The following is a 24714-nucleotide window of genomic DNA, read 5'->3' as shown; positions in this document are numbered from 1 at the left end:
TCATCCCACTTCATCCTGCCTGCCTGCTTTGGGCTGATAAAAAAAGTCGAGAAGTTTAGGTCAAACGCAGCCCCTAATGCTGTGTGATCTTGATCAAGTCACTCCCATTCTCTCTTTCTCTGCATCCCCCCAATAAAATGATTTCTCCTAACACTTTCGGCATCTCAATGTTGTTGAGTGGAGAAGAATAAGACAACACATTTCTTACCCACCTGGTTTGCTCTCTACCAGACAGTTCTAAAGCTGTTTTCTCCTTGAGCAGTTTTTAAAGACTGCTTGCTTGCTTTGTTTCCAAAAGCATGACACAAATGCAATGTATTGTTACCGTTTTCTCTTTTTAAGTAAATTCTAGAAAGCCCAGCCACAGGATTTCACAATCTGTCACTGTCCCCCGGTGCCCCAGCCTGTTGCCAAGGAGAGAGATTATCCGGGTTTGGGGAAGGTCAGCCAGCCCCAGCACGATCTCTAACACAGCCTGGTTTGCCATCCTCAATCACAGATTCAGAGTTGGCCACACAGAGACTGGGCAGGACCACTCCAAGGCCAGAGCGGCCACTGAGGGAGAAACAATGCTCGGCACCACTCAAGCTTCCCCAGGCCACTCTAATCACCACCCATGCCTGCAGGAGGATGCAGCTCTCCAGTCTGCGGGGCAGGCAGGCTGTAGTCTGTCAGAATCCTGAAAGAGGGAACGTCTTTGAGAACAGAGACCTCATCTGCATGGCCCTGGGGGCCCCGCTTTGAACACAGAAGAGATGAAAGAGCAGATCTCCCAGACTACTAGAGGAGTTGGTACACATACGGCACAGACATAAAAATATTTTTCACAGCCATCCATAAATGTATGCAAGCGCTTGAGACCTGGGGATGTATTTCATTCCATGCTAACCTCATAAATGAACACCTGGTTTATTAAGGGCAAACTTATTAATTTGGTATTATTAAGAATGCCTCCCATTTTATGTAAGGGTGAATAATTTGAAAAGGACCATCACGTTATTGTTCTGTTCCTCATGACAAGTCATGCAGGCCCACTTTAAAGGTAAAAAAGATGAGGGACTTAAAACTAGGATATTTCCTCCATACTTATGAAGCAGGGTTACTGAAGTATCGCTTTTCTTTGACCCCACTTTTTTCCCTCAATTTTTTTTAAAAAAGCTTTATTGTGATATAATTTACATACCATAAGTTTCAAGTGTGGAATTCATTTTTAGTACATTTACAGAGTCATGGAAGCTCTTACCATATCACCATAATCCTAGAACTCTTTTCGCCACCCTGTTGTACTCATTAGCAATGACTCCCCATTTCCCTCCCCCAGGCTGTAGACACAGGTAATCACTGATCTACTTTCTATAGATTTGCCTCTTTTAGACATTTCACATAAACAAGATCATATAGTATGTGCTTTTTTGAGACTAGTGGGATATTTTCAACCCAGTCTCATATATCCAACTCCTATGCATACTTTAAGACCCCTTCTCACCCCAACCACCTCCATTCCCTGAAGACTGACCTTCCTTCCTTCCTTCCTTCCTTCTTTCCTCCCTCCCTCCCTTCCTTCCTTTTTCTGAGACATGATCTCACTCTGTTGCCCAAGGCTGGAGTGCAGTGGTACGATTGTGGCTCACTGCAGCCTTGACCTTCTCAGGCTCAGGTGATCCTCCCACCTCAGTCTCCCAAGTAGCTGGGACCACAGGTGTGCACCGCCACATCTGGCTAATTTTTCTTTTTTTTTGAGATGGAGTCTCACTCTGTCACCCAGGCTGGAGTGCAGTTGTGCCATCTCAGCTCACTGCAACCTCTGCCTCCTAGGTTCAAGCGATCCTCCTGCCTCAGTACCCCCTGAGTAGCTGGGACTATAGGCACTCACCACCACGCCTGGCTAATTTTTTTATTTTTTGTAGAGACGGGGTTTTGCCATGTTCGCTAAGCTGGTCTTGAACATCTGGACTCAAGCGAACTGCCCACCTTGGCCTCTCCAAGTGCTGGGAGTACAAGAGGGAGCCACCACGCCCAGCCTCCCCAAAGACTTCTTGCTCATTCCAACCTATGGAATATTTTTCTTCTATGAATTCACTCCCTCTTGTCTGGAGTGTTCAAGAAGCACTTGGCAAAAGCTGCACGGCCCATCTCTGCTGCTGCTGTGCTGTCTGTTCTCTAGCTCTTTCTGTGAATTCCTCACCTCTGACTTCCTGGGGGTGGATCTTGCTGACATACCTCGCAGGTGCCCCCTACTCACCCCACTCAGCTGTGCCCAGCATAGTTTTCTGCTTCAAATGGGTAATCAGTTTATGTATGTTGAAAGAATAAATGACTCACGGGGATGTTCCCAGACTTTTAGTAAAAAAGGATTCAGGAAAAGTGCAAGAAGGAAAGTAAAATCAAGAACAGGAACAAAGATCAAATGTAGAATGTGGGCATCAGAGTCCAAAGGGTTGGCAGCTACCAATCAGGTGCAGTCCTTGTGATGTGACTAGAGGGACATCAAAAGGCCCTGGGCCACAAAGGGTCTCCCACCTACCTCCAGGAGCAATTGAAATAACATATTAGTCACTCCTTGCACTGGAGGCCTTAACCGCCTCCATTAAAATGCAAATGTCAACACCTGGGAGAGTGGTAGATCATGGTATTATCAGCCATTTCCACCTCAGCTCCAATCTGAGCTCTTTATTTCCTGTTCTCTGAGGCCCAGAGGTTTAGACATAAGGATGGGGTCTGGAAAAATCTAGGGTCCAGTTCCCCAGATGGCTAATTACAAACGTATCATCCTTGATTTCCAAGCCAAAGGTCAAGAGTAAGAGGGCTGAAGTTCAGAGCTCATGGTGGGGTCCCAGCTGCAGTGGAGGATGGTTCCCAGGGACTCAGTCATTTGTACCTGATGGCTAAGATGCTGGGCCCCATTGCCTGATGGATGACCAGCCCGCAAGATGCCCAATGCGCCATCCTGTTAACTATTCTCTGACTTAGGGAAAATAAGTAGATAGTTCCCTGCGGGAAAGGTAAGTCATCTCTCTAGTTTGGAGCATGGGGCTTGCTCTCAAAATGTAAACATCTAGGAGAGGTTGGGCACACTTTGTAGAGTCATTTCTACCTGACTGTCGGAATGAGATGATCTTTAATATCCTTTTCAGTCTCAAGAGAGCCTTGGGTTCATAGAGTTTCTTAACTCCTTTTGAATAACTCACAGTGCAGGGCTCTCCTGGACAAAACTGTGCAGGGGGCAAAGTTCATTTTTGACCCCCAGTTCCTAACTGGCTTTCATTTTTGCCCTCCTCCTTCTAGCTCCCAGGCACCCAGGCCCTCAGCCCCTCTTCTACTCAGTGTCTCCCATTCTATGGTTTCATTTGACCCAGGAAATGCTCTCTGGTCCCAAGGGTTCTTCTCTCCTTCCTAACTCATCCCTATTCCTAAATAGCAAGCATTCATTCTCCTAGTGCCCACAACCTTGGCCAAGTAGTAGCAGAGGCTGATTAAATTCATTACACTGAGGCTGGGCATGGTGGCTTACGCCTGCAATCCCATCACTTTGGGAGGCGGAGGCGGGTGGAACACCTGAGGTCGGGAGTTTGAGACCAGCCTGACCAACATGGAGAAACCCCATCTCTACTAAAAATACAAAATTAGCCGGACGTGGTGGCGCATGCCTGTAATTCCAGCTACTCGGGAGGCTGAGGCAGGAGAATTGCTTGAACCCAGGAGGCGGAGGTTGTGGTGAGCCAAGATCACGCCATTGTACTCCAGCCTGGGCAACAAGAGTGAAACTCCATCTCAAAAACAAAATAAAACAAAACAAAAACTCATTACACTGACTTGTCAAAGACTGATGTCCTGCCGCAAATCTCTGAACCTCTCAGGGGTATCTGCATTCATTTTTCCAACCATCTTATTGGGATATAACTTACATACCGTAACACTCACCTGGTTAAGGTGTGCAGTTCAGTGCTTTTTAGTATACAGTTGACCCTTGAACAATGCAGGGGTTAGGGTTAGGGGCACCAGTGCCTGCGCAGTAAAAAATCCACATATAAACTTTTGACTCTTCCAAAACTTAACCAATAGCCTACAGTTGACTGGAAGCCCTACAGATAACATGCACATCAATTAACACATATTTTATATGTTATATGTATTATATACTGTGTTCTTACAATAAAGTAAGCTAGAAAAAAAAAATGTTAAGGTGGCTGGGCGCAGTGGCTCATGCCTGTAATCCCAGCACTTTGGGAGGCTGAGACGGGTGGATCATTTGAGGTCAGGAGTTTAAGACCTGGCTAACATTGTGAAACTCCGTCTCCACTAAAAATACAAAAATTAGCTGGGCACGGTGGCGCACATTTGTACTCCCACCTACTCAGAAGGCCAAGGCACGAGAATTGCTTGTACCCAGGAGGCAGAGGTTGCAATGAGCTGAGATCGCCACTGCACTCCAGCCTGGGCAACAGAGCAAGACTCCGTCTGAGAAGAAGAAAGAAAGAAAATCATAAGGAAGAGAAAAAATTTATTTACTACTCATTAAGTGGAAGTGTATCATCATAAAGGTCTTCATCCTCATCTTCAGCAGGCTGAGGAGGAGGAATTGGTCTTGCTGTCTCAGGAGTGCAGGGGCAGAAGAAAATCCAGGTATAAGTGCACCTCCGCAGTTCAAACCCGTGTTGTTCAAGGTTCAACTGTATTTATGGATTTGTACAATCATCACCATAACTAATCTTAGAACATTTTCGTTACCCCCCAAATAAATCTTATACCTGTTAGCTGTCACTCCCCGTTCTTCTCCTTCCCCAGGCCTAGGCAAGCACTAATCTTTCTCTCTCAATTTTCTGCATTGATTTTGAATCAATTTAGCAAATGAGTGTTATCCCAAAGCATGACTATCTAATAGTGGAGTTCTAAGCAGTGTGTGGGGGAGTTATTTTTAGGTAGGGGAGTATTATTGCTACCCACTTCTAAAAGTATTTCTGATTATTCCAAAATATTAATATGTGAATATTCTAATTTCTGAAATAGAAATATTCTTATAAAAAGCAGCCTGTGGGAGTGAAGAATTAAGTCCTGAAGGGTAACTGAGGCACGAGGGGGAAGATGGCTGGAGGGGAACAGAGGTGTATCTATAGGTCTCCCAAAGGGCCTGCTGTGCTCTGGAGTCTGTCGTCCCCATACCTCCAGCAAACTAAGCATTCACTTAAGACAGAGACAAGAGATGGTGCTTAGGTTGGCATTCTCTCTGATGACAACATCCTTCTTACTTTTTTTTTTTTTTTAATGGGATTTTCCTCTGTTGCCCAGGCTGGAGTGCAGTGGTGTGATCACAGCTTACCACAGCCTAGAACTCATGGGCTCAAGGTATCCTCCCACCTTAGCCTCCTGAGTAGCTGGTACCACAGGCATGTGCCACCATGCCTGGCTAATTTTTGTATTTTTTTTTTTTTTTTGGAGAGATGGGGTCTTGTTACGTTGCCCAGGCTGGTCTGGAACTCTTGGGCTCAAGTGATCCACCCGCCTCAGCATCACAAAGTGCTGAAATTAAAGCTGTGAGCTGCTGTGCTGGCCTCATCCTTTCCTTTTGATACCAGGTGCACATCTTGGAGTTTGTCTTGAAAACCTCTGCCTTTCATTCCTGTGATCCTCAGCTTTTCTTGATTTCTTCTGACTGTGAAGACTCCTCCTTTACCCAGGGTTTAGCCCCACAGGGTTTCTTTCTCAGCCCTCCACAGGCCTCTTCCAGCCAATGGCATCATTCCCATCACCAGGTCACTTTTGGCCCAATCTACATCTGTTCTGCAATAGCTTCCTGACTGGTCTCCCACACACACTCCCACTTTTTTTTTTTTTCCAGTGACAGGGTCCCACTTTGTCACCCAGGCTGAAGTGCAGTGGCATGATCATAGCTCGCTGTAGCCTTGAACTTCTGGGCTCCAGCAGTCCTCCGACTCAGCTTCCTGAGTAGCTGGTTTTACAGGGGCACACCACCACACATGGCTAATTTTTAAATTTTTTTTGTAGAGATGGGGTCTCACTATTATCAGCTATGGTGCCGAGGCTGGTCTTGAATTCCTGGCCTCAAGCGATCCTCCTGCGCTGGCCTCCCAAGGTGCGGGGATTACAGGGATCTTGTTTCTTGAATGTAGTAACATTATCACCAGTTTGCCTCTTAAAACAGAATGAACCAGGACACTTTTGTCCCTAAATTTGGGGGCTCCTTATTGTTTTTAAACTGAAGCCCAACCTCCTCGGCACTATGTTCCAGAGTTCAACTCACCTGTCCATCTTCACCCACTGTCGAAAGTCCTCCTCCCCTACATATACCTGAGACTCCATCTTGCTTACCATTCCCCAGATGTGCCATGTGTTTATCCAGCAACTATTGGGCACCTCCTATGTGCCAGGCACCAGGCTAAACACTGGGCATGGAATAAGATCCCAACTCTACCCTCAAGGCATTCAGCAGACTGTGGAGACCGTTCCGTAAACAAGTCAAGATAATACAATGTGACAGGTGCTATAATAGATATAAGCAAGGTGTGCTGGGGGCAGAGGAGGAGGAGGGAGTGCCTATTGGCATGGGGGAGGGGTGGAGGGAGGGGAGGGGTATTAGGGAGGGCTTCCCTCAGGTGCTGAGTTTGATTTGTGGAGGAAAAAGGGTTATCTCTGCAGAGGCACAAGAGCAGTTCATGGGGGCTGGGTGACAGGAAGGTGGTGAACTCACAGTGAAAGCTGGCAGGTAGGAACAGGCTGTTTTGTGGACATGATTTCAGTGGGAGTGAGATCAGATGAGGACAAGGCGGAGGACAGATTTGAGGGCAAGGAGGGAGAGTTGGCAATTATCCAGGCAAGGAAGGGGATGATCGGGATGAAGGCTGTGGTAAGAGAATGTGGAAGAAGAGACAAATGCGAAAAGACAAGGCAGAGGAGATATTATCACTCTTAAGATCACAGAGTTTGGACGAAGGTAATTCCACCAGCAGCATGAAAAGGGAGTGAGGAGCAAGCTACTTGGGAGATGACCTTATTTTCAGAAACAGTGAATTTGGGATCTGGTGAGTCCCAAGGAGCATCGATGGGGAGCTCTCCAGTAGCCAGAGGGAAGCTTGGAACTGGGAAGGGAGGCAAGGGCTGAAGATACAGATTTCAAAAATATCTTAGAGAAAAAAACATGCTTATCCTTGGGCCCAGCAATTCTATTTGTAGGAATTTTTCCTAAGGATATGTGTAAATTTTTATTCATTTATTTATTTTTGAGACAGCATTCTCTCTATGTTGCCTAGGCTGGCCTCGAACTCCTGGGCTCAAGAGATCATCTCACCTCAGCCTCCTGAGTAGCTGAGATTACCAATGTGAGCCACTGTGCCCAGCTTGTGTGAAAATTTATCTACAGAAATGCTCACTGTTTATAATAGTAAAGGAGGGGAAACTTTTATTTATAAACTGCTATGACAGTGAAAAATGCCTAACAGTAGGGGATTGGTTAAATAAAGTATACTATACCCATGCAATTTGGACAGTAAAATGGATATTGTAGATGGATGCTTATTGACATGAAAAAAAATCCACAATATTTTGCTAAGTAGAAAATGGTAGACTCTAAAACTAATTGTAGAGTAAAAGATCCAGTTATTGTTTAAGAAAAAAATTAACATATTAATACTGGTTTTTTTTTTTTGAGATGGAGTCTTGCTCTTTCACCCAGGCTGGAGTGCAATGGTGCAGTCTCGGCTCACTGCAACCTCCACCTCCCGGGTTCAAGTGATTCTCCTGCCTCAGCCTCCCGAGTAGCTGGGATTACAGGTGCCCATGACCACGCCTGCCTAATTTTTGTATTTTTAGTAGAGATGGGGTTTCACCATGTTGGCCAGGCTGGTCTCGAACTCCTGATCTCATGATCCGCCCTCCTCAGCCTCCCAAAGTACTGGGATTATAGGCGTGAGCCACCGCGCCCGGCCAATACTGGTTCTTTGGTGATATGATTATGAGTGTGTTTTCTTTCTTTTTAATTTTTTTCCCACATCAATCATACATGGCTTTTGTTGTAAGACAATTATTTTTAAAAATTGAATAAAATTAAGAGGAATGACTTAGGGATAGCTCTGGGAATGAGAAGATGAGAGGATCAAGGATGGAACCTTGATCAATAGCCTTGATACCTCTGGCCCTGTGGCCCCTGTCCGTGCAGTTGACTATGTCTTGAGGGTGCCACCCATGTCATATCTGCTACATTGCTGCATGGTAGAATACAACGAGCAGACTGCTACAACTATGAGCTTTGGGCAAACTCATATATATATATATATATATATATAAATAATTTTATTTTATTTTTTTTGAGACAGAGTATTGCTGTGTTGCCAGGCTGGAGTGCAGTGGTGCAACCTTGGCTCACTGCAACTTCCACCTTCTGGGTTCAAGCAATTCTCCTGCCTCAGCCTCCCAAGTAGCTGGGACTACAGGCACACACCACCACGCCTAGCTAATTTTTGTATTTTTAGTAGAGACAGGGTTTCACCACGTTGGCCAGGATGGTTTCGATCTCTTGACCTCGTGATCCGCCTGCCTTGGCCTCCCAAAGTGCTAGGATTAGAGTCGTGAGCCACCATGCCCGGCCTTTTTATTTTTTATTTTTTTTTTGAGACAGAGTCTCATTCTGTCAACCAGGCTGGAGTGCAATGGCATGATCTCGGCTCACTGCAACCTCCACCTCCCGGATTCAAGTGATTCTCCTGCCTCAGCCTCCAGAGTAGGATTACAGGCTCACACCGCCACGCCCGGCTAATTTTTGTATTTTTAGTAGAGACGGGTTTCACCATGTTGGCCAGGCTGGTCATGAGCGCCAGACCTCAGATGATCTGCCTGCCTCAGCCTCCCAAAGTGCTGGGGTTACAGGCATGAGCCACCATGCCTGGCTGGACAAACTTTTTGATTCCCTAAGTCTGTTTTCTCATCTTTATAGTGGGGATAACCTTCCTCAGAATAGTTATCTGACAATAAAATGTTTACAGACATACAACAGTTGCTTAGTAAATATTAATTAGTCCATCCTCCCTTTCTTAGACATCCTTCCCTGCTAGACCCAGGTTTGACTTCCAGGCCCTTGTTTGGCCCTCACAGTGGGAAGTGACACCCCCTCTCTCTGAATGCCCGAGGTGCTGTTTGCACTTCTATTGAACCCAGAACTTTGCTCTGACCTAGAGATAGTGGCTAGCTCTTCTCCGTCACTGACTTGTTCGACTTGTTCCCGGTCTAGAGTTTGGTCATCTCTCTATCCTGGTAGCAACTAGCACAATGCTTTGTACATTGAGGGTTCTCTAGAATTTTTATTGACTAAATTCATGTTTTTTTTTACAACTTGGCTAATAGTGGAATACTCAAAGGCTGGATTACCCAAGGGTTAGTTTATTCTGACCTCTTGGAATTTTTCTCCTCCCAATTTGTAACTCTGGCAAGGTTTATCTTCCAGTCTGCAGAGATGACCAGCAGAGAGAGACAAAGAAGGAAGCTCACTTAGACCTCTAGGCTCCCTGTCAGAAGCTCTGGGGAGAGAGTTGGAGGATGAAGAAGGGGAAAGTAAAAGCTGTTTACCCCCAGGCTGGGTAGGAGTGTGGTCTCCCACCTCTCCAGGGTTTAGACTGTCAGAACTCCAGCAGGACAGCTTGGGGGCAAAGGGAATTGGGTAGACACATCATTCTACAGGCCTACGTCCTTTTTGCCTAGCAGTCGAATCCTTCTCTCCATTCCTGCCTCTTGTGGCTGGTGCTGTGTATCTAGCCATTTTCCCCTTCCCCTGCTTCCCCCCAAGTGGGCACGCCAGCTTGCTCAGGTGCCCATCCTTCCTGCTAACACCTTGTTAGGTTAGGGAGGCAGTCTGGCGCTGACGAAGGACCTTTGGGTGCCAAGTTAGTAGACCTGTGTGACCTATAGCAAGTTGAATAAGCTCCCAGAGCCTCAGTTTCTGCATCTATAAGCTGGGAATAGCTACACGGTCTCTGTCCTCTGTCTCATCCTAGGATTACTGACGGGAACCAAGTGAGATTTATGAGACTTTACGAACAGGCAAAGAGCGCTTTATAAAAGCCAGGTGTTTCCAGTGTTCACTGTGGGGCTTTCTCCTGGTAACTACCCACCAAAGCCTCCCTGTCCGCCCCGCCCCGGCTGCATCGGCCTCACCCACTGCATCACCATCTTTTCCATCACTGTCTTCCTGCGTCTCAGAAGTCCTGTTTCTGCATCTCCCCTGTCCATTTCCGGGTCTGGCTCTCCGGCCCCTGAGACCCCTCCAGGGACTCTGTTCTCCTTCTCCTTGAGGCACTCGCTGCCCAGGCGCCCCCCACCCGGTGCGCCCTCCTTTGGCACAGCCGCCGGGCCAGAGAATCGCCCAATAAGAGCGCCGGACTGTAGTCTGACAGCTCCGGAAGCGGCCAATCGAGCCGGGCCAGGGAAGGGGGGCGCAGCGCCGGGGCTGAAGTTGGGTTAAATGGGGGGAGGGGGATTAAAGGGGGATACAAAAGAGGGGAGCTAGGACTGGGGGCGCTGGAGCCCTGGCCGGGGGCGGGGGAAGACCGCGCTCCACCCAGGTCTGGTGACGGGACCGCAGGCTGGATGCGGCTCCTAGTCCCAGGGAGGGAGGGGCGCAGCGAGAATTTTAGGTGAGGAAGGGGAACTGGGGTGCCCGCGGCCAGGCCTGAGGATGCCCGCGGGGCGCCGAGGCTGGGGCCATGGCCAGGCCGGGGGCGGAGGCGGCCTCGCGCGGCTGTGAGCCGAGGCCCGGGCGGCGCGGGGGGCGGGGAGGCAGCGGGAGGAGGGGATGCGGAGGGCTCTCCGGCGGCGGCGAGCGGGCGAGAAGGGAGGAGCGGCGCGAGCGGCCGGAGCGGCGCAGGGCCCGAAGCGTGCATGGCGCGCCCTGAGCCGGGCTCCCGCGGGCCCCCCCGGAGCGCCTCTCGGGCGCCGCGGCTCTCAGGCGGGCCCCTCTGGGCCGGCTGCTTCTGAGCCCCGGCGCTGGATCTCTGGATGCCTTACTCCCCGGGAGAAGCCTGCCTGCGTCGGGGCAGAACCGCGGCAGCGCTGCGCCGGATTCCGTCCTCCGCCTAGTCGTTCCGCGCCGGCCGCGGTGGGCCCGCAGCCGGCGACGAGGAGCTTGGGGCTTGCGAAGCGGGCGCGACAGCTCTCCGGGCCGGCAGGTCCCGGCCGGCCCCGCTCCGTTTGCGGGAAAGGGAGAGGCGAGAGGGGAAGGGCCGCACCGCAGGAGCCGGTCCCTGACCCGGACCCCGCCCCCTGCGCGGACGCGCCGAAGGCTCGGCTCGGCTTTCGCCGGGGCCACGCATCCACTCTCGCCGCGAGAGGTGGGGGATGCGGGCAACGGCCCCCCCGGGCTCCAGGACCCTCCCCCCCGGGGCTCCGGAGCTGTTGCTCCGCCCGTCGCCCCCTCCCCCGTCCTCTCCACCTCCCATCCCACCTCCCCACCCCTCGTAAGAAAATAATGCTGGCTGGCGCCCGCACCTCCCAGTCGCTCCCAGTCCGCTGCGAGGAAAGCGCACCCGCAGTGTCTCTTCGCCGGGACCCCCGCCGAGCCGCCCTCGCCGCCGCCGAGCCCCGAGAGCAGCTGGGCTCCGCTTAGGCGGAATCAGCGAGCGCCGCGCCCGGGCACTGCCGGCCCGAGGAGGCACCGCCCGCAAGGACACCACTCCGTCCCGTCTCGTCCGCAACTCCGGCCCTCGTCGAGCTCGACGCGAGCCAGGATCCCGGACGTCTCTCCGCGTGCGGCGCAGCAGCAGCCAGACCAGTCCCTGCGACCCCACCTCGGAGGCAACTCCATTTCGGACCTGGGACTTCTGACGCGGATCCTCAGCTACTTCTCACCTCGGGGCTGTGCCCTCCTCCTCCGCTCAGGACGGGGGTGCCAAGATGCCCCGCTGCAGCGCAGGGCCCCGGGCCGCCCCCGACGTGTGACCCTAGCCTGGTCCCCCTGCTCGGCCGTCCGCCCTCCCCTTGGAGACCCCCGGCCCGGCTTCCGGGGGAGGAGGAAGGAGACGACGAGGCCGAGGGGGGGATGTCCGGCTCCAAAAGCGTGAGCCCCCCGGGCTACGCGGCGCAGAAGACTGCGGCGCCGGCGCCCCGGGGAGGCCCCGAACACCGCTCTGCGTGGGGCGAGGCCGATTCCCGCGCGAATGGCTACCCCCATGCCCCCGGGGGCTCTGCCCGCGGCTCCACCAAGAAACCCGGGGGGGCGGTGACCCCGCAGCAGCAGCAGCGCCTGGCCAGCCGCTGGCGCAGCGACGACGACGACGATCCTCCGCTGAGCGGTGACGACCCCCTGGCCGGGGGCTTCGGCTTCAGCTTCCGCTCCAAGTCCGCCTGGCAGGAGCGCGGCGGCGACGACTGCGGTCGCGGCAGCCGCCGGCAGCGGCGGGGCGCGGCCAGCGGGGGCAGCACCCGGGCGCCCCCTGCGGGCGGCGGCGGCGGCTCGGCGGCGGCGGCTGCCTCGGCGGGCGGGACGGAGGTGCGCCCTCGCTCGGTGGAGGTGGGTCTGGAGGAGCGGCGGGGCAAGGGGCGCGCGGCCGACGAGCTGGAGGCCGGCGCCGTCGAGGGCGGCGAGGGGTCCGGGGATGGCGGCAGCTCGGCGGACTCGGGCTCGGGCGCGGGGCCCGGCGCGGTGCTGTCCCTGGGCGCCTGCTGCCTGGCGTTGCTGCAGATATTCCGCTCCAAGAAGTTCCCGTCGGACAAACTGGAGCGGCTGTACCAGCGCTACTTCTTCCGCCTGAACCAGAGCAGCCTCACCATGCTCATGGCCGTGCTGGTGCTCGTGTGCCTGGTCATGTTGGCCTTCCACGCGGCGCGGCCCCCGCTCCAGCTGCCCTACCTGGCCGTGCTGGCGGCCGCCGTCGGCGTGATCCTCATCATGGCTGTGCTTTGCAACCGCGCCGCCTTCCACCAGGACCACATGGGCCTGGCCTGCTATGCGCTCATCGCCGTGGTGCTGGCCGTCCAGGTGGTGGGCCTGCTGCTGCCGCAGCCACGCAGCGCCTCTGAGGGCATCTGGTGGACCGTGTTCTTCATCTACACCATCTACACGCTGCTGCCCGTGCGCATGCGGGCCGCAGTGCTCAGCGGGGTGCTCCTGTCCGCCCTCCACCTGGCCATCGCCCTGCGCACCAACGCCCAGGACCAGTTCCTGCTGAAGCAGGTAGGGGCCGACCTGGCCACCGGGACTGGATTGCGGGGCGGGCAGGCCTCAGCTGGACTCCAAAGAAAGGGATCCCACCCTCACCCTTTCGAATGGTGAAAAGAGCCAGAGAGACAGGGCTCGGCCATGTAGGCTATTTGGGAGCTTCTTACCCCACTCTGAGCCCCAGCGGCTTCATTTACAAAAAGAGTGCCCTTGTGTCGTTTGCAGTGTTCCTTGCCCCTTAGATAACGTGTACTGAACTGTAGCCATCACTGTGGGAATGCAGTGAGGAAGGTTGGAGGAGAAAATTATAAGGAGTGTTTCCCATCTCTTCCTGAGCTTCTGTTCCTATATACAAAAGGCCCCTAACGAAAGTGGCTGGACCCTCTAGCAGCCACCCCCTCGTGAGTGCCACTGCTGCTTTGTTAATCCAGCCCTGGATAGAGGGTTGGTGAGGGGACACCCTGCACCCCTTGCTCAGTGGTAAGGAGGAGGTAGCATGAGCCTGCCACCTGTCTAAGGCTGGGGATTTGGTAGCTGGAGATATCCCTGAACTTGCAGAAGGACTGACAAGTTTGTTTCAGTTAGCAGAGCGCCCCAAGCCAAAAACCTGCCCTTCGCTAAAGTGGGAAGGAGCCTCCGAGATGTGTGTGGTGGCAATTCCCCTTCCGGCCTGAGCAGAAAGCTGTTGTTGAACATCATGACCCCTTCAAGTGGGTGCCCCTGGTCATTGCTTGTGGTAGGGACATTTTATCCCTGCTGGGATTTGTTGGGTGAGTCTAGAACTGCAGGTTCAGGAAGAAATACAACTTTTGCCTGGTTAGCTGGTGACTCTCTTAAAGGCTTCTGTGAGAGGGGCATGTTGGCTATCCTGACCTCAGGGTGAGAGGAGCCCCCCTGCCATCCATACCATATCTCCCTTTAGTGTCCTGTGGTCTGGTTTCCTGGTCCTCATCCATGATTGCTTCTGAACCTGCTTGTTTGCATGCTGCTCCACTGTGAGAGTCCACTGGGCCCTTGCTACAGGCAAGTCTCTTCACCTTGGACCCCAGTGCACACATCTGCCCACTGGTGTCTGCCTTCTCGAATAGAACCTCTTAAGGGTTTTCCATTGTCATTGCCTTCCTCTGTCTCCCCTCTTCTAGTGCCTTCTCTTAGACTTTTATCCTCTTGAGTACCGCATCTTTCTTGAGTTGCTCTCCTGTGTCCCCTGGCTTCCTGGACATAGTATTCTTCCATAGAGAATAGCACTGTTATGGGTTTCAGGGCTCTGGGCTCTAGCTGAACCTGCAGGGTGCTCTGTGACTGGGACGGAGGGGACACACAAGCTCTCTGGGCCTTTGCTACCTTTTCTAGAGAATGAGAGGAATGTTTATGTCCCTTCCACTTCTAACGTCCTCTGCCCCAAGCTGTACCCCTGCAAGGAACCTTCTTCTTCCATTCCAGCCACACTGACCTCGTGGTCTTCTGTATGATTAACAATAGAGTCAGAGGCACAGAGTGGAGCACTTATTCATTTTCCAGTGTCCACTTGTTTTGCTGTCTGTCCAGTGTAACCTCCATGGATGCACAAATCCCAAGGTGTATGTGTTTTTCCTCCTCTATTCTCTCACCCTTACCTAAGCACAGTGCAGAATACTTAGTAGGGATTTAATAACTGCTTGCCAATATAGTTGGGGTCCAGTGAATGGAGTAAGTGGGGCTGTTGATGCTAAGTTAAAAGTTTTTTCAGATCTGAGATGAGAAGAAAAAAAAAATCTTTAGAGACCAGCTTTGCAGAAGACTTTTGAGAGGTGGTGGTTTAAAAGTTACTACCATTGTTAGTGCTTATAAAAGCCCCAACTCTTTTGACCCGAGGACTCGTGCTTTCAGATGGTTGTTGTATCTTTGGGGACTGCTCCTGATTTGGGTGGATGTAGCTTTTCTGCAGAGGAAGGGGCATGTCATCCATATGGAGATTTTCAGGATAGTTCAGGGTATTTTGTGAACCAGACTTGGGACACAGGGTCTGATTACAGCTGTAGGTATGGTTTCTCCTGAGGGGGGTTGGAGTCAGATCCCAGGAAAGGGGTGCTGAGCCTTGGGGGGGGCCCCAATTCCACCTTAGCATGAAAATACCATTGCAGCAACAGAGTGTCTGTCTGACTGACTTCTCCTTCTGGTTCCTTAGGCAAATCCCTCTCCCTTCTCTCCCCACCCCCACTGGCTCCTACCCTGTTCTTTTACCCACTGTGGTCTTTAGACTTTTGCAAGGCTGTAGGATTTTGGGTGGATTTACACTTACTTTATATGATCTTCCCTGAGTGGTGCAGAGCTTGTTATGAGTGGTTCAAGACAAGGGAATGCAAACATTTCCTCTATTTGGCTTCAGAGAAAACTGTATCTTTTTTTGTTTGTACTTGATTTACCCTTTTGATTATGCCTCATATAAAATTTGTCTTTCTTGAGCAAACCCTGCTGGCTGGTGGGGGAAGTCCAGCATTAACCTCTGCCTCAGGTTACTCCAGAACAGCAGGCATGTAAGAGTGGTTGGGATTAGATGCCTTGTTCTTTTCTTTGTTGAGACACATGTCCAGGGAAATGGGTGGCAATGAGCAGTTCCTATGTTGGGGCTTTGGGAATTCCCCCTTCGGTGGCTTGGACACATAGTAGGCCCTCAGTAAACTGGACTGGCATTTCTTCACTGCTCCTCTTGCAAGGCTGGACCTCTCCCCCTTTACTCAGGTCCTCAACATCATTATCTGACCTGTGTATTTTATTCTTCTTCAGCCTCTCTTATGTGTGGGGCTCTGCCCTTGGCTCCAATTAGGAGAAGCATTTGGTTTCTTAACCAGTGGCTCCTGACAGTTTTGACTCAAGGGAGGAACAGGACACAAGGTGCCACAGCCCCTCTTGGTGGGATGGTGTTTCTTCCCTTCTCCATCCCTCTGGCTCTGTCCATAGTGTTTGTCACCCTCCCCCTCGGCTCCTTCTCTCTCTCTGCCTGCTCCTTTCCTCTCTGACTTCCTTTCTCTTCCCTCTCCCTCTGATCCCTGTTACTGTCTGCCCACCTCACCTCTCTGCTGCCTTCCTGCAGGCTCTGCTTTCCCATCTCTCCCTCCCTGTTCGAGGCCTCTCAGCCTCTGCTGTGCTCTTGTCTCACTGTCGACTCCTGTCTCCTCGCTGGGGTATAGTAGGAGCGTCACGGGGTTGTTTTTTTCTCCTCCTTTGCCTGTTAGAAGTCCCTCTGCTACACCCATACCATAAATAACACTGGAGCATCTGCCAAACACATTCCTCACTTGTGTTAATAGGCTGCAATGATGCTGGAGCCTGTTGCCATGGCAACCTCATTTTTGTTTGACTGTATCCCACTCTGCTACATAAAGCTTCTGCACGCACTCACACAAAAACAAGCATGCTCACACAACTATTACATATGCTTAGCTATTAACGATTATTTTGGAGAAGGTATCGTTGTGCCCTGTGGGGTGGGGTGGTCATTTGCACTCCAGGAGATTAGCAGCAGCTCTATGGTCTGGACTCTAGGTGATGATGGATGGAAGAGCTCTTTGAAAAGTGGAGAGTCCTGTTCAAATATGGGGTATTATTATTATGCATCCACATTCAATCTGCCTGACATGGTTTCTGAGGAGAAGATTCTGACCCCGCATGGGTCCCCGTGAGCTTGGGGGAGCCACTAGGGGTTTTCCCTGCAGTGTGGGACAACCCATCTCCCACCCCACCCTGTCTTTCCCCAGCTTCTTAGTGATTTCCTGCATTTCTTCTTTTGTGCCTATTTGAACCTACAACTGTCACCAGTTGTTCCAGTGATCAGAAAGGCACAGGCGCTGTGTGGGTGAAATTCTGTGACTGTGAGCACGTGTGTCTGTAGCGAGGAGACAAATGAGGGGTGGGGGTAGGAATATGGACCAAGAATCGAGGCTGTGGCTGTTCAGGGGTGCATGTGTGTACGTGAGCACGTGCGCATCTGTCTATCTGGTATGAGGCTGACCCAGGTGGTGGACGTGGGCCTGGGAAGCCTTTGTGTTAACTTTGAAAGGAGATCATGGCAGCCCTGTCCTGTTTATTCTTGGCTGGTAGTTGGCTTCCCCTGGCCGTTTGCTTTTCTGGTCCTGGGCCTTGATGGTTCTTCGGACCTCGACCTCTGGCTCCCCAGGGAAGTAAGTACCTGGGGCTCTTCTGACTCCATGGAGTCCCTTTCTTCTCTTTCAAGAACCTTTCCTGCTACCTACCTGCTCAGCAGCCCAGCCCAATGAGCCCCGCTGAAGAGCTGCCACCTTGCTCTGGAACTTGGCCCAGAGGCCTGTCTGGTGGATCACTCTGGCTGCCCCATGTGAGACGCTGGGTAGAGTGGAGGAAGACACACTTTCACCCACAGGCCCGGGTATTGTCTGCCACCAATTGCTTTCCCTATCACCTGCATTTCTGGATAGGAGAAATTCAGTGGCAGTGAACTTCAGCAGCAGGCTCAACCCCAGCGCAGCAGCAGGCTGGGGTTGGGGGTTGGCTTTGGGTTTCGAGTGGAGGAGGGTCTGCTTCTCTTGCCTCAAGGCTGACTGTATTTGCCGATTATATTTACTTATTGCTTATTAGATCGCCTCTTTCTCCCAAAAGCTAGGAGTGGGTATTTGGAGGAGAGCAGAAGTGGCTGGGGTGGGGGTCGTCTTCTAGATCCCTAGAGTGCCTTGATCCCTGGGGGAGGACTTCAGGAATGGCAGAGACTCAGCGGAGGGGCACAATGCCCAGCTGCTGTATTTGTGGGAATGTACACTGTTAATAATTCAATCTAAATGTTCGTCTGCAACAGGAGCATGAGTTCTGTGTGCTGTGGGACCCAGAACAGTGCGTTCATGTTTGTCTGTAAAGAGGACATGGATGATGCGTTAAACCCCATCAACCTCACAGAGAGTTTCAAAATCAGTTTATAATGCTTGGACAGGAACTCTCCTATTCATTCAAGCTCTGGCCATGAGTCCCTCTGTCCGAGGGTGTGGCTGGAGCACACGCAGGGTGGTGGCCCATGTTCGGGCCAGGCCTCCTCTCCCGCATGAGGCATGAATGGAACTGCCACCTTGGTCCTCACCAAACTGGGACCTGAGGAGGGAGCCTCCCGTGATGGCGCAGCCTCTTGCTGAGTGCCTTGCTGTCCGTGGCTGCCTGCTTGCTACTTCAGTTAACTTTATCTTGGTGGTGGGTGCAACCTGCCGTCATGTGTTTCCCAGGAGTGTAGCCTGTGTTGAGAAAGAAAAGTTTGCTCTGGGGGCTTCAACATGATGGTGCCCGTAAATCCTTTGGGTACAGTTACATAAGTGAGGCCCTAGCATCCTTGTCTCATCCATGCTTATCAGATGAGGGTAGCTGGCTCATGGAAGGCAGGATCAGTATTCATTCTGCTCCCAAACACAAAATTGCAAAATTGGAAAGCCCTGCTTTTTTTTTTTTTTTTCCTTCCTTAAGGCAATATCCAAATGTAGGACAGGGAAGATCTCTCTTTACAGCATTGTGAAGAAAATCTGGGGGTTTCTAGTTAGCGGACAGTGAGCTTAATGTGAGCCCGCATTTTGGGATGGCTGTTAGAAAAGGCCCACAGGATCTTGGTTAGGTTTATAGCCTTATCCAGTTCATCAGAGGATTGAGGCCTGGTCTGAAATACAACGGCCTCTGATTCTAGACTTCAAAGGAGAGTGACCAGTTTTGTAAGGGGAGTGGAAACTTCTGAGAGAGCATTTGAGAGAATGGAGGATATTTAGCTGGGAGAAAAGCAGACCATATCAGGTAAGAAAACCTAACGCGAAGGGCAAGGTGTTATTGCTGGGATCTCTGTTTTCAGATATTAGAAGAGGGACTAAATTATTTTCTGTTGCTCCCAAGGGTAGGCTTGTGGCAGATGGGTGGAAGTAGTAGACAGGTCTCAGCTCTAGGTAGATGACACCTTTCTAGCCATTGGGTTTGCAGCAGCCAAATCAGGTGCCTCTTAGGGTAGCCAGCTCTCTGTCAGTGGAGGTGTTCAAGTGGAGACTGGATGGCCACCTCCTTGGCTTGTTACTGAGGAAATTGACTGCTTGGTGAAAGTTTGGATGGGTCACTGACTGCATCATTGATTCTTAACTTTGGCTTATCATAATCACCTGGGAAGTTTTTGAAAAAATGCAGATTCACAGGCCGCACTGGGAAGGTACAACTTCCAAAGGTCTAGGGTAGGGCCCAGGAATGGATCTCTATTTAAAACAACTTGGAGCTGGTTTTCAAATCTCCCCAGGTGATTTTGATGACCAGCTCTTAGGTTTGGGATCATTGGCCAAGAAGACGGCTCAGGTTACACCTAAGCCTGGAATTCTGTGGGTCAGTGTCTTGCAACAGTGGCAAGACCTCCTAAAGTCCTCCAGGGTGTCCTCTTATCATGCCCATCTCAGCCCCTGTTTAAAAGAAGCACAATCAGTGCATACATGCAGACTTATTGGGAGGCATCCAGGTGGGGCTGGTGAGTGTGCACTAATGCACAGATGCAGATCTGGAAGGCGATTGGGTCATAGTGGTGGTGGTAAAACAGGATGAGAGGGATGATCAGCCCTGGACTCTCTCTTGCCCCCTCGCCCCAATCCCCCCTTCCTTTTTGAGGCAAAACAATCTGTGGCTCACCTTTTGAGGGGGAGGTTAGTAGAAAGATGGGCCTAGGTTTGACTTCTGGTTTATTCATTCGTCTGGTGAGTGGGTATGAAAACCTACTGAGGACATCCCAGATCCAGAAGGGATGGTATAGAGTGTGGAGAATGAGGAAGTCAGGGGGTGGAGGAGCAAGACAGGCGATGGGGAAGAATTCCGAGGTGGTGTGAAGGAAGGGGAGTGTGCCTTAAAGAAAGGAAGAGGAGATTGGAACTGTGAGTATGAGGAGGGTAAGGACTTGGAAGTGGGGGTAGGGCTGTTCTCTGGGAACAATGAGATATGGTCACAAGAGAAAGGGGGGGTGGTTAGACAAACAAACACAAGGAGACAGTAGAGGCTTTATTCTTTAGGCTAGCCTCATGTGTCAGTGTGAAACTGTAATAGGCCCCCCTCCCTGCCCACTACCTCTTGCTCTGGTCGGGTTATGAGCTGCTGCATCTGGGCTTGTGGCCTCCTGACCTCACACTTTCATGGTCCCCTCTGCCTTCCCCTTCAGGGCTCCCTGGGCTTTATCACAGAACTCACTGAGGTCCCACCTTGTCTTTTGGAGGGAATCCTGAGGGACCCAGTGCCTCACCTCCATCAGTGCTCAGCACACAGTAGGTGCTCAGTGAGGGTTTGAATGAACAAGCAAATGAATGAATGGGTGGTGGGGTGGGTGGACGTCTGCACGCAGACTCTAAGCTCTGCCGAAGTGCTAGACCAACACCTCCACAGAAGGAAGCGACGCAGCTCGGCTTGGAAGCCTATTTTGGTGGGTTGTAATCCTAAACTCTGAGCAGGGCTTCCAAAATCCCTCCTGCTGCAATTTAAAATGTGTGCCTTCTTAGAAACAGAGAGCTGTTGCCTGGCACTGCCGATACTATATCACTTAACAGATTTGAAAACCATCATTAAGTCGTTCTTTCAGCCTTCTCCCTATTTGTTCAGATAATAATCATTTATTAGGTGCCTACCTTATAATAGGCACTGTCTAGGCCATGGGGTTGCAAAGATGACGGGTTGTGGCTCTGAGGACCGCCTTCAGCCCAGGCTCTCCCACTAAATGTGTCCCTTGGAGGGCTGTTCATAGATGTCTCACATACAGTAGTCCCTCCTTATCCAAGGGGGATACAGCCCAAGACCCCCAGTGGATGCCTAAAATCGTGGATAGTACCAAACCCTATATAACATTATGTTTTTTTCCTGTATATCTATACTTGTGATAAAGTTTATAAATTAGTCATAGTAAGAGATTAACAATAATTAATAATACAATAGAACAGTTTTGATGATATACTGTTCAGAGTTTCAGACAGAAGATTTGTTCTTACCGTAGATCTTAGCAACCTCAGCGTATGATTTTTTTCTTTCCTTATTAAGTTGAGAACTTTTACATTTTCCCTTAAAGAAAGCACTTTAGGGCTGGGTGCGGTGGCTCATGCCTGTAATCCCAGCACTTTGGGAGGCCAAAGCAGGCGGATCATGAGGTCAGGAGATCGAGACCATCCTGGCTAACACGGTGAAACCCCGTCTCTACTAAAAATACAAAATACAGGCGTGGTGGCGGGCGCCTGTAGTCCCAGCTACTCGGGAGGCTGAGGCAGGAGAATGGCATGAACCCAGGAGGCGGAGCTTGCAGTGAGCCGAGATTGCGCCACTACACTCTAGGTGGGTGATAGAGCGAGACTCCATCTCAAAAAAAAAAGCACTTTAGGGTCTGGGCACAGTGGGACCAGGCACAGTGGCTCGTGCCTGTAATCCCAGCACTTTGGGGGACTGAGATGGGAGGATCGCTTGAGTCCAGGAGTTTGAGACCAGCCTGGGCAAAATAGTGAGACCCTGTCTCTACAAAAAATTTTTTAAAAAGGTTAATCAGGTGTGGTGGAACGCACCTATAGTCCTAGCTACCTGGGAGGCTGAGGTGGAAGGATCTCTTGAGCCTGGGAGGTCAAGGCTGCAGTCAGCTGTGATCATGCCACTGTACTCCAGTCTGGGCAGCAAAGTGAGAGACCCTGTCTCAAAAAAATAAAAAGGAAAGGAAGAAAGTGCTTTAGAGCTTCTCTTTGGCATATCCAAACTGCCAGCATCACTACGCTTGCACTTTGAGGACATTATTAAGTAAAACAAGGGTTCCTTAAGCACTGCAGTACTGTGACAGTTGATCTGATAACTGAGCCTGCTATGGGGCAGGGGTAGGTATCATGTACAGCGTGGATCTGCTGGACAAAGGGATATTCATGTCCTGGGCAGGGTGAAGCAGGACAGGGAGGTTTCATCACTCTACTCAGAATGGTGCACGGTTTAAAAGTTAGAAATTACTTATTTTTGGAATTTTCCAGTGAATATTTTCAGACCGTGGTTGACCATGGGTTACTGAAACCGCGGAAAGCAAAACTGAGGTTAGAGGGGGACTATTTTACACACACATGGTGTGTGTCAAATAAATTTAGGAAATATTGGATTAAACAGAATTCTTAGGCATTAAAGCTTTTAATATGTAATGGGTATAAGAATTTGCCAAGAGGGGGTTATGGCACGAAGCCTTTTTCAAACACATTTGACTCCAGCACCATTTTCCGAAGGAACCTACTGCGGGGAGGGCATTAGTGTTTGTTAGGACACGCTTTAGGATACAATTCTTCAGGGGCTGGGAGGAGCCTTGAAGTTTCTCAAGATCTAGCCCCTTGCCTCTGGGCCAGGCCTATCCGAAGGCATCTAGATGGGGGCATTTGTTTGGTGGCTCTCCTCCCTCAGGGAGGAAATTGCTTAGACTGCATCAGCCTGCTGCCTGCTTTCAAGTCTCATTCTCCATCTGGGTCAGAAATCCTTTATAAAATAAATTGAGGGGGCTGGCAGGGACTGGGGAATGCCTCCTTGATTTTGCATCAGTTTCTTTTAGGAATTTTCTGCTGTTGTTAGACATCGGAAGAGGTTGGGTCTGCACAATGACCCTTGGTGGGCTTGGGGTCCCTTGAATGTCTTTCTGGAACTTTTCCTAAGCAAGGCACTGAGTGCGTGGCTGCCCATGGGGAAGTAGTGTCGGACCATTCCAGATCAGCCTTCCCCAAATGTTTCTTTCCCATCCCCACTCTCCAAAAGGAGGAAGCTCATAAAGTATATTGATGATAACCTGTAGCTTATATTGAGTCTTTACTGCAAACCTGGCACTGGGCTAATCCCTTCCATGCATGACCTCATCTAATCTTCATGTCATCCTTATGAGGAAGACATTTTTTATTCCGATTTTTAAAATTCTACACCGCTGCAGAAACTGGGATAAGAGAAGGTAAGTAACCTCCCCAAGGTCACACAGCAAGCTTGTGACAGATGGTTCAGCACCCTGCCCATATCCCCTGGGCATGTACCTTTCACTCATACCAGCCAGACTTCCAGCTGAACCTGGAACCTGAGGGAGAGAACCTGAGGGCTTTCTCTGGCCTTAAACCTTGGGGCCTGCTGATAGGGTAGGTCAGAAGTGCCAGGGAGTTACTTCCTGAGAGCAGCATTCAACCAGTGGCTGTTGGGCACTGGTAGACGAATGCCCCAGCTCGTTTGACCTCGGGGTTGGGGGAATCTTATTCTGAGGCTGGTGTTCTGCATGGTCTCCTAGAACTCTCTGCAAGGATTAATCTCTAATGGCTCACAGTGGTTACAGGCTTAATAACACACTCTTCTTTTTGGGGGCTTTCTTTCCTTCCTTTCTCATTTCTCCACTCCCCTACTCCCCTCCTAATGTTTCCCGGGGTCACCTCCCAGAAAAGTCACTTGTACTCAAATCCTTGTCTCAGGGGCTTTTTCTAGGAGAATCCAAACAGAAAGTGGAGAAGCCTGCATTCTAACCCAGGTCTGACTTGAACACCAGGGAGGTGGGGAGGCTGCTTACTAAGGACGAAAATGCATATGAAGTGCAGACCTCCGTGGCAGGATTGGATCCCTGGCCCTGCCTTGGGCCTCTCTCTTCCATTTGATAGCATGTGCTTATCAACAGCTGATTGGTTGCTGGACTTGAGGAATGATATGAAATTTAAAAGTTTTTACTTTACTTATTTTTAAATTTATTATTATTATTATTTTTTGAGATGGAGTCTTGCTTTGTCACCCAGGCTGGAGTGCAGTGGCATGATCTTGGCTCACTGCAACCTCTGCCTCCTGGGTTCAAGAGATTCTCCTGCTTCAGCCTCCCAAGTAGCTGGGACTACAGGCATGCCCCACCATGGCTGGCTAATTTTTGTATTTTTAGTAGAGAAGGGATTTTGGCATGTTGGCCAGGCTGGTCTCGAACTCCTGACCTCAGGTCATCTGCCCACCTTGGCCTCCCAAAGTACTGGGATTACAGGTGTGAGCCCACCATTCCCAGCCAAAAGACAGTTTTTTTAAAAGACAAATTACTGTTTTTGAATTTTTGCTTTGAGACAAGGTCTTACTCTGTTGCGCAGGCTAGAGTACAGTGGTATGATCTTGGCTTACTGCAACCTCTGCTTCTGGGGCTCAAGCAATCCTCCCACCTCAGCCTCCTGAGTAGCTGGGACTACAGGTGCACAACACCATGCCCAGCTATTTTTGGTAATTTTTTAAAATAAAAATGGGGTCTTGGCCAGGTGCAGTGGCTCACACCTATAATGCCAACACTTTGGGAGGCTGAGGCGGGCGGATCACGAGGTCAGGAGATTGAGGCCATCTTGGCTAACACAGTAAAACCCCGTCTCTACTAAAAATATAAAAAATTAGCTGGGTGTGGTGGCACGCACCTGTAGTCCCAGCTACTTGGGAGGCTGAGGCAGGAGAATCGCTTGAACCCGGGAGGCAGAGGTTGCAGTGAGCTGAGATAGCACCACTGCACTCCAGCCCAGGTGACAGAGCAAGACTCCATCTCAGAAAATAATAATAATAATAATAATAATAATAATAATAAT

At 50.7% G+C, this 24714-nt stretch overlaps 1 protein-coding gene across 2 annotated transcripts in view, besides 3 other annotated features; it reads left to right on the top strand.

Annotated features, from left to right (window-relative positions):
- Positions 1–501: an enhancer, noted in NCBI's record as "H3K4me1 hESC enhancer chr3:123178929-123179429 (GRCh37/hg19 assembly coordinates)". NCBI's record gives its function as "activates a minimal SCP1, AML or CMV promoter by ChIP-STARR-seq in naive H9 embryonic stem cells {active_cell/tissue: H9 hESC(naive)}" and the evidence as "EXISTENCE:reporter gene assay evidence [ECO:0000049][PMID:30033119]".
- Positions 502–1002: an enhancer, noted in NCBI's record as "H3K4me1 hESC enhancer chr3:123178428-123178928 (GRCh37/hg19 assembly coordinates)". NCBI's record gives its function as "activates a minimal SCP1, AML or CMV promoter by ChIP-STARR-seq in naive H9 embryonic stem cells {active_cell/tissue: H9 hESC(naive)}" and the evidence as "EXISTENCE:reporter gene assay evidence [ECO:0000049][PMID:30033119]".
- ADCY5 (adenylate cyclase 5) overlaps positions 11493–24714 on the top strand; it is a 166795-nt gene continuing 153573 nt past the window's right edge. For both annotated transcript variants that reach the window (NM_183357.3, NM_001378259.1), the window contains exon 1: positions 11493–13171. In NM_183357.3, the coding sequence (NP_899200.1) occupies positions 12038–13171 (1134 nt within the window). In that variant the 5' untranslated portion in view covers positions 11493–12037. The remainder of the gene's footprint in view (positions 13172–24714) is intronic.
- Positions 12432–13331: an enhancer, noted in NCBI's record as "H3K27ac-H3K4me1 hESC enhancer chr3:123166099-123166998 (GRCh37/hg19 assembly coordinates)". NCBI's record gives its function as "activates a minimal SCP1, AML or CMV promoter by ChIP-STARR-seq in naive H9 embryonic stem cells {active_cell/tissue: H9 hESC(naive)}" and the evidence as "EXISTENCE:reporter gene assay evidence [ECO:0000049][PMID:30033119]".

The sequence above is a fragment of the Homo sapiens genome, chromosome 3 (assembly GCF_000001405.40).
Source record: "Homo sapiens chromosome 3, GRCh38.p14 Primary Assembly".
NCBI classification, from domain to species: Eukaryota; Metazoa; Chordata; class Mammalia; order Primates; family Hominidae; genus Homo; species Homo sapiens.
Note: the sequence above shows the minus strand (reverse complement) of the source record. Positions and strands in the feature narration are given on the sequence as shown.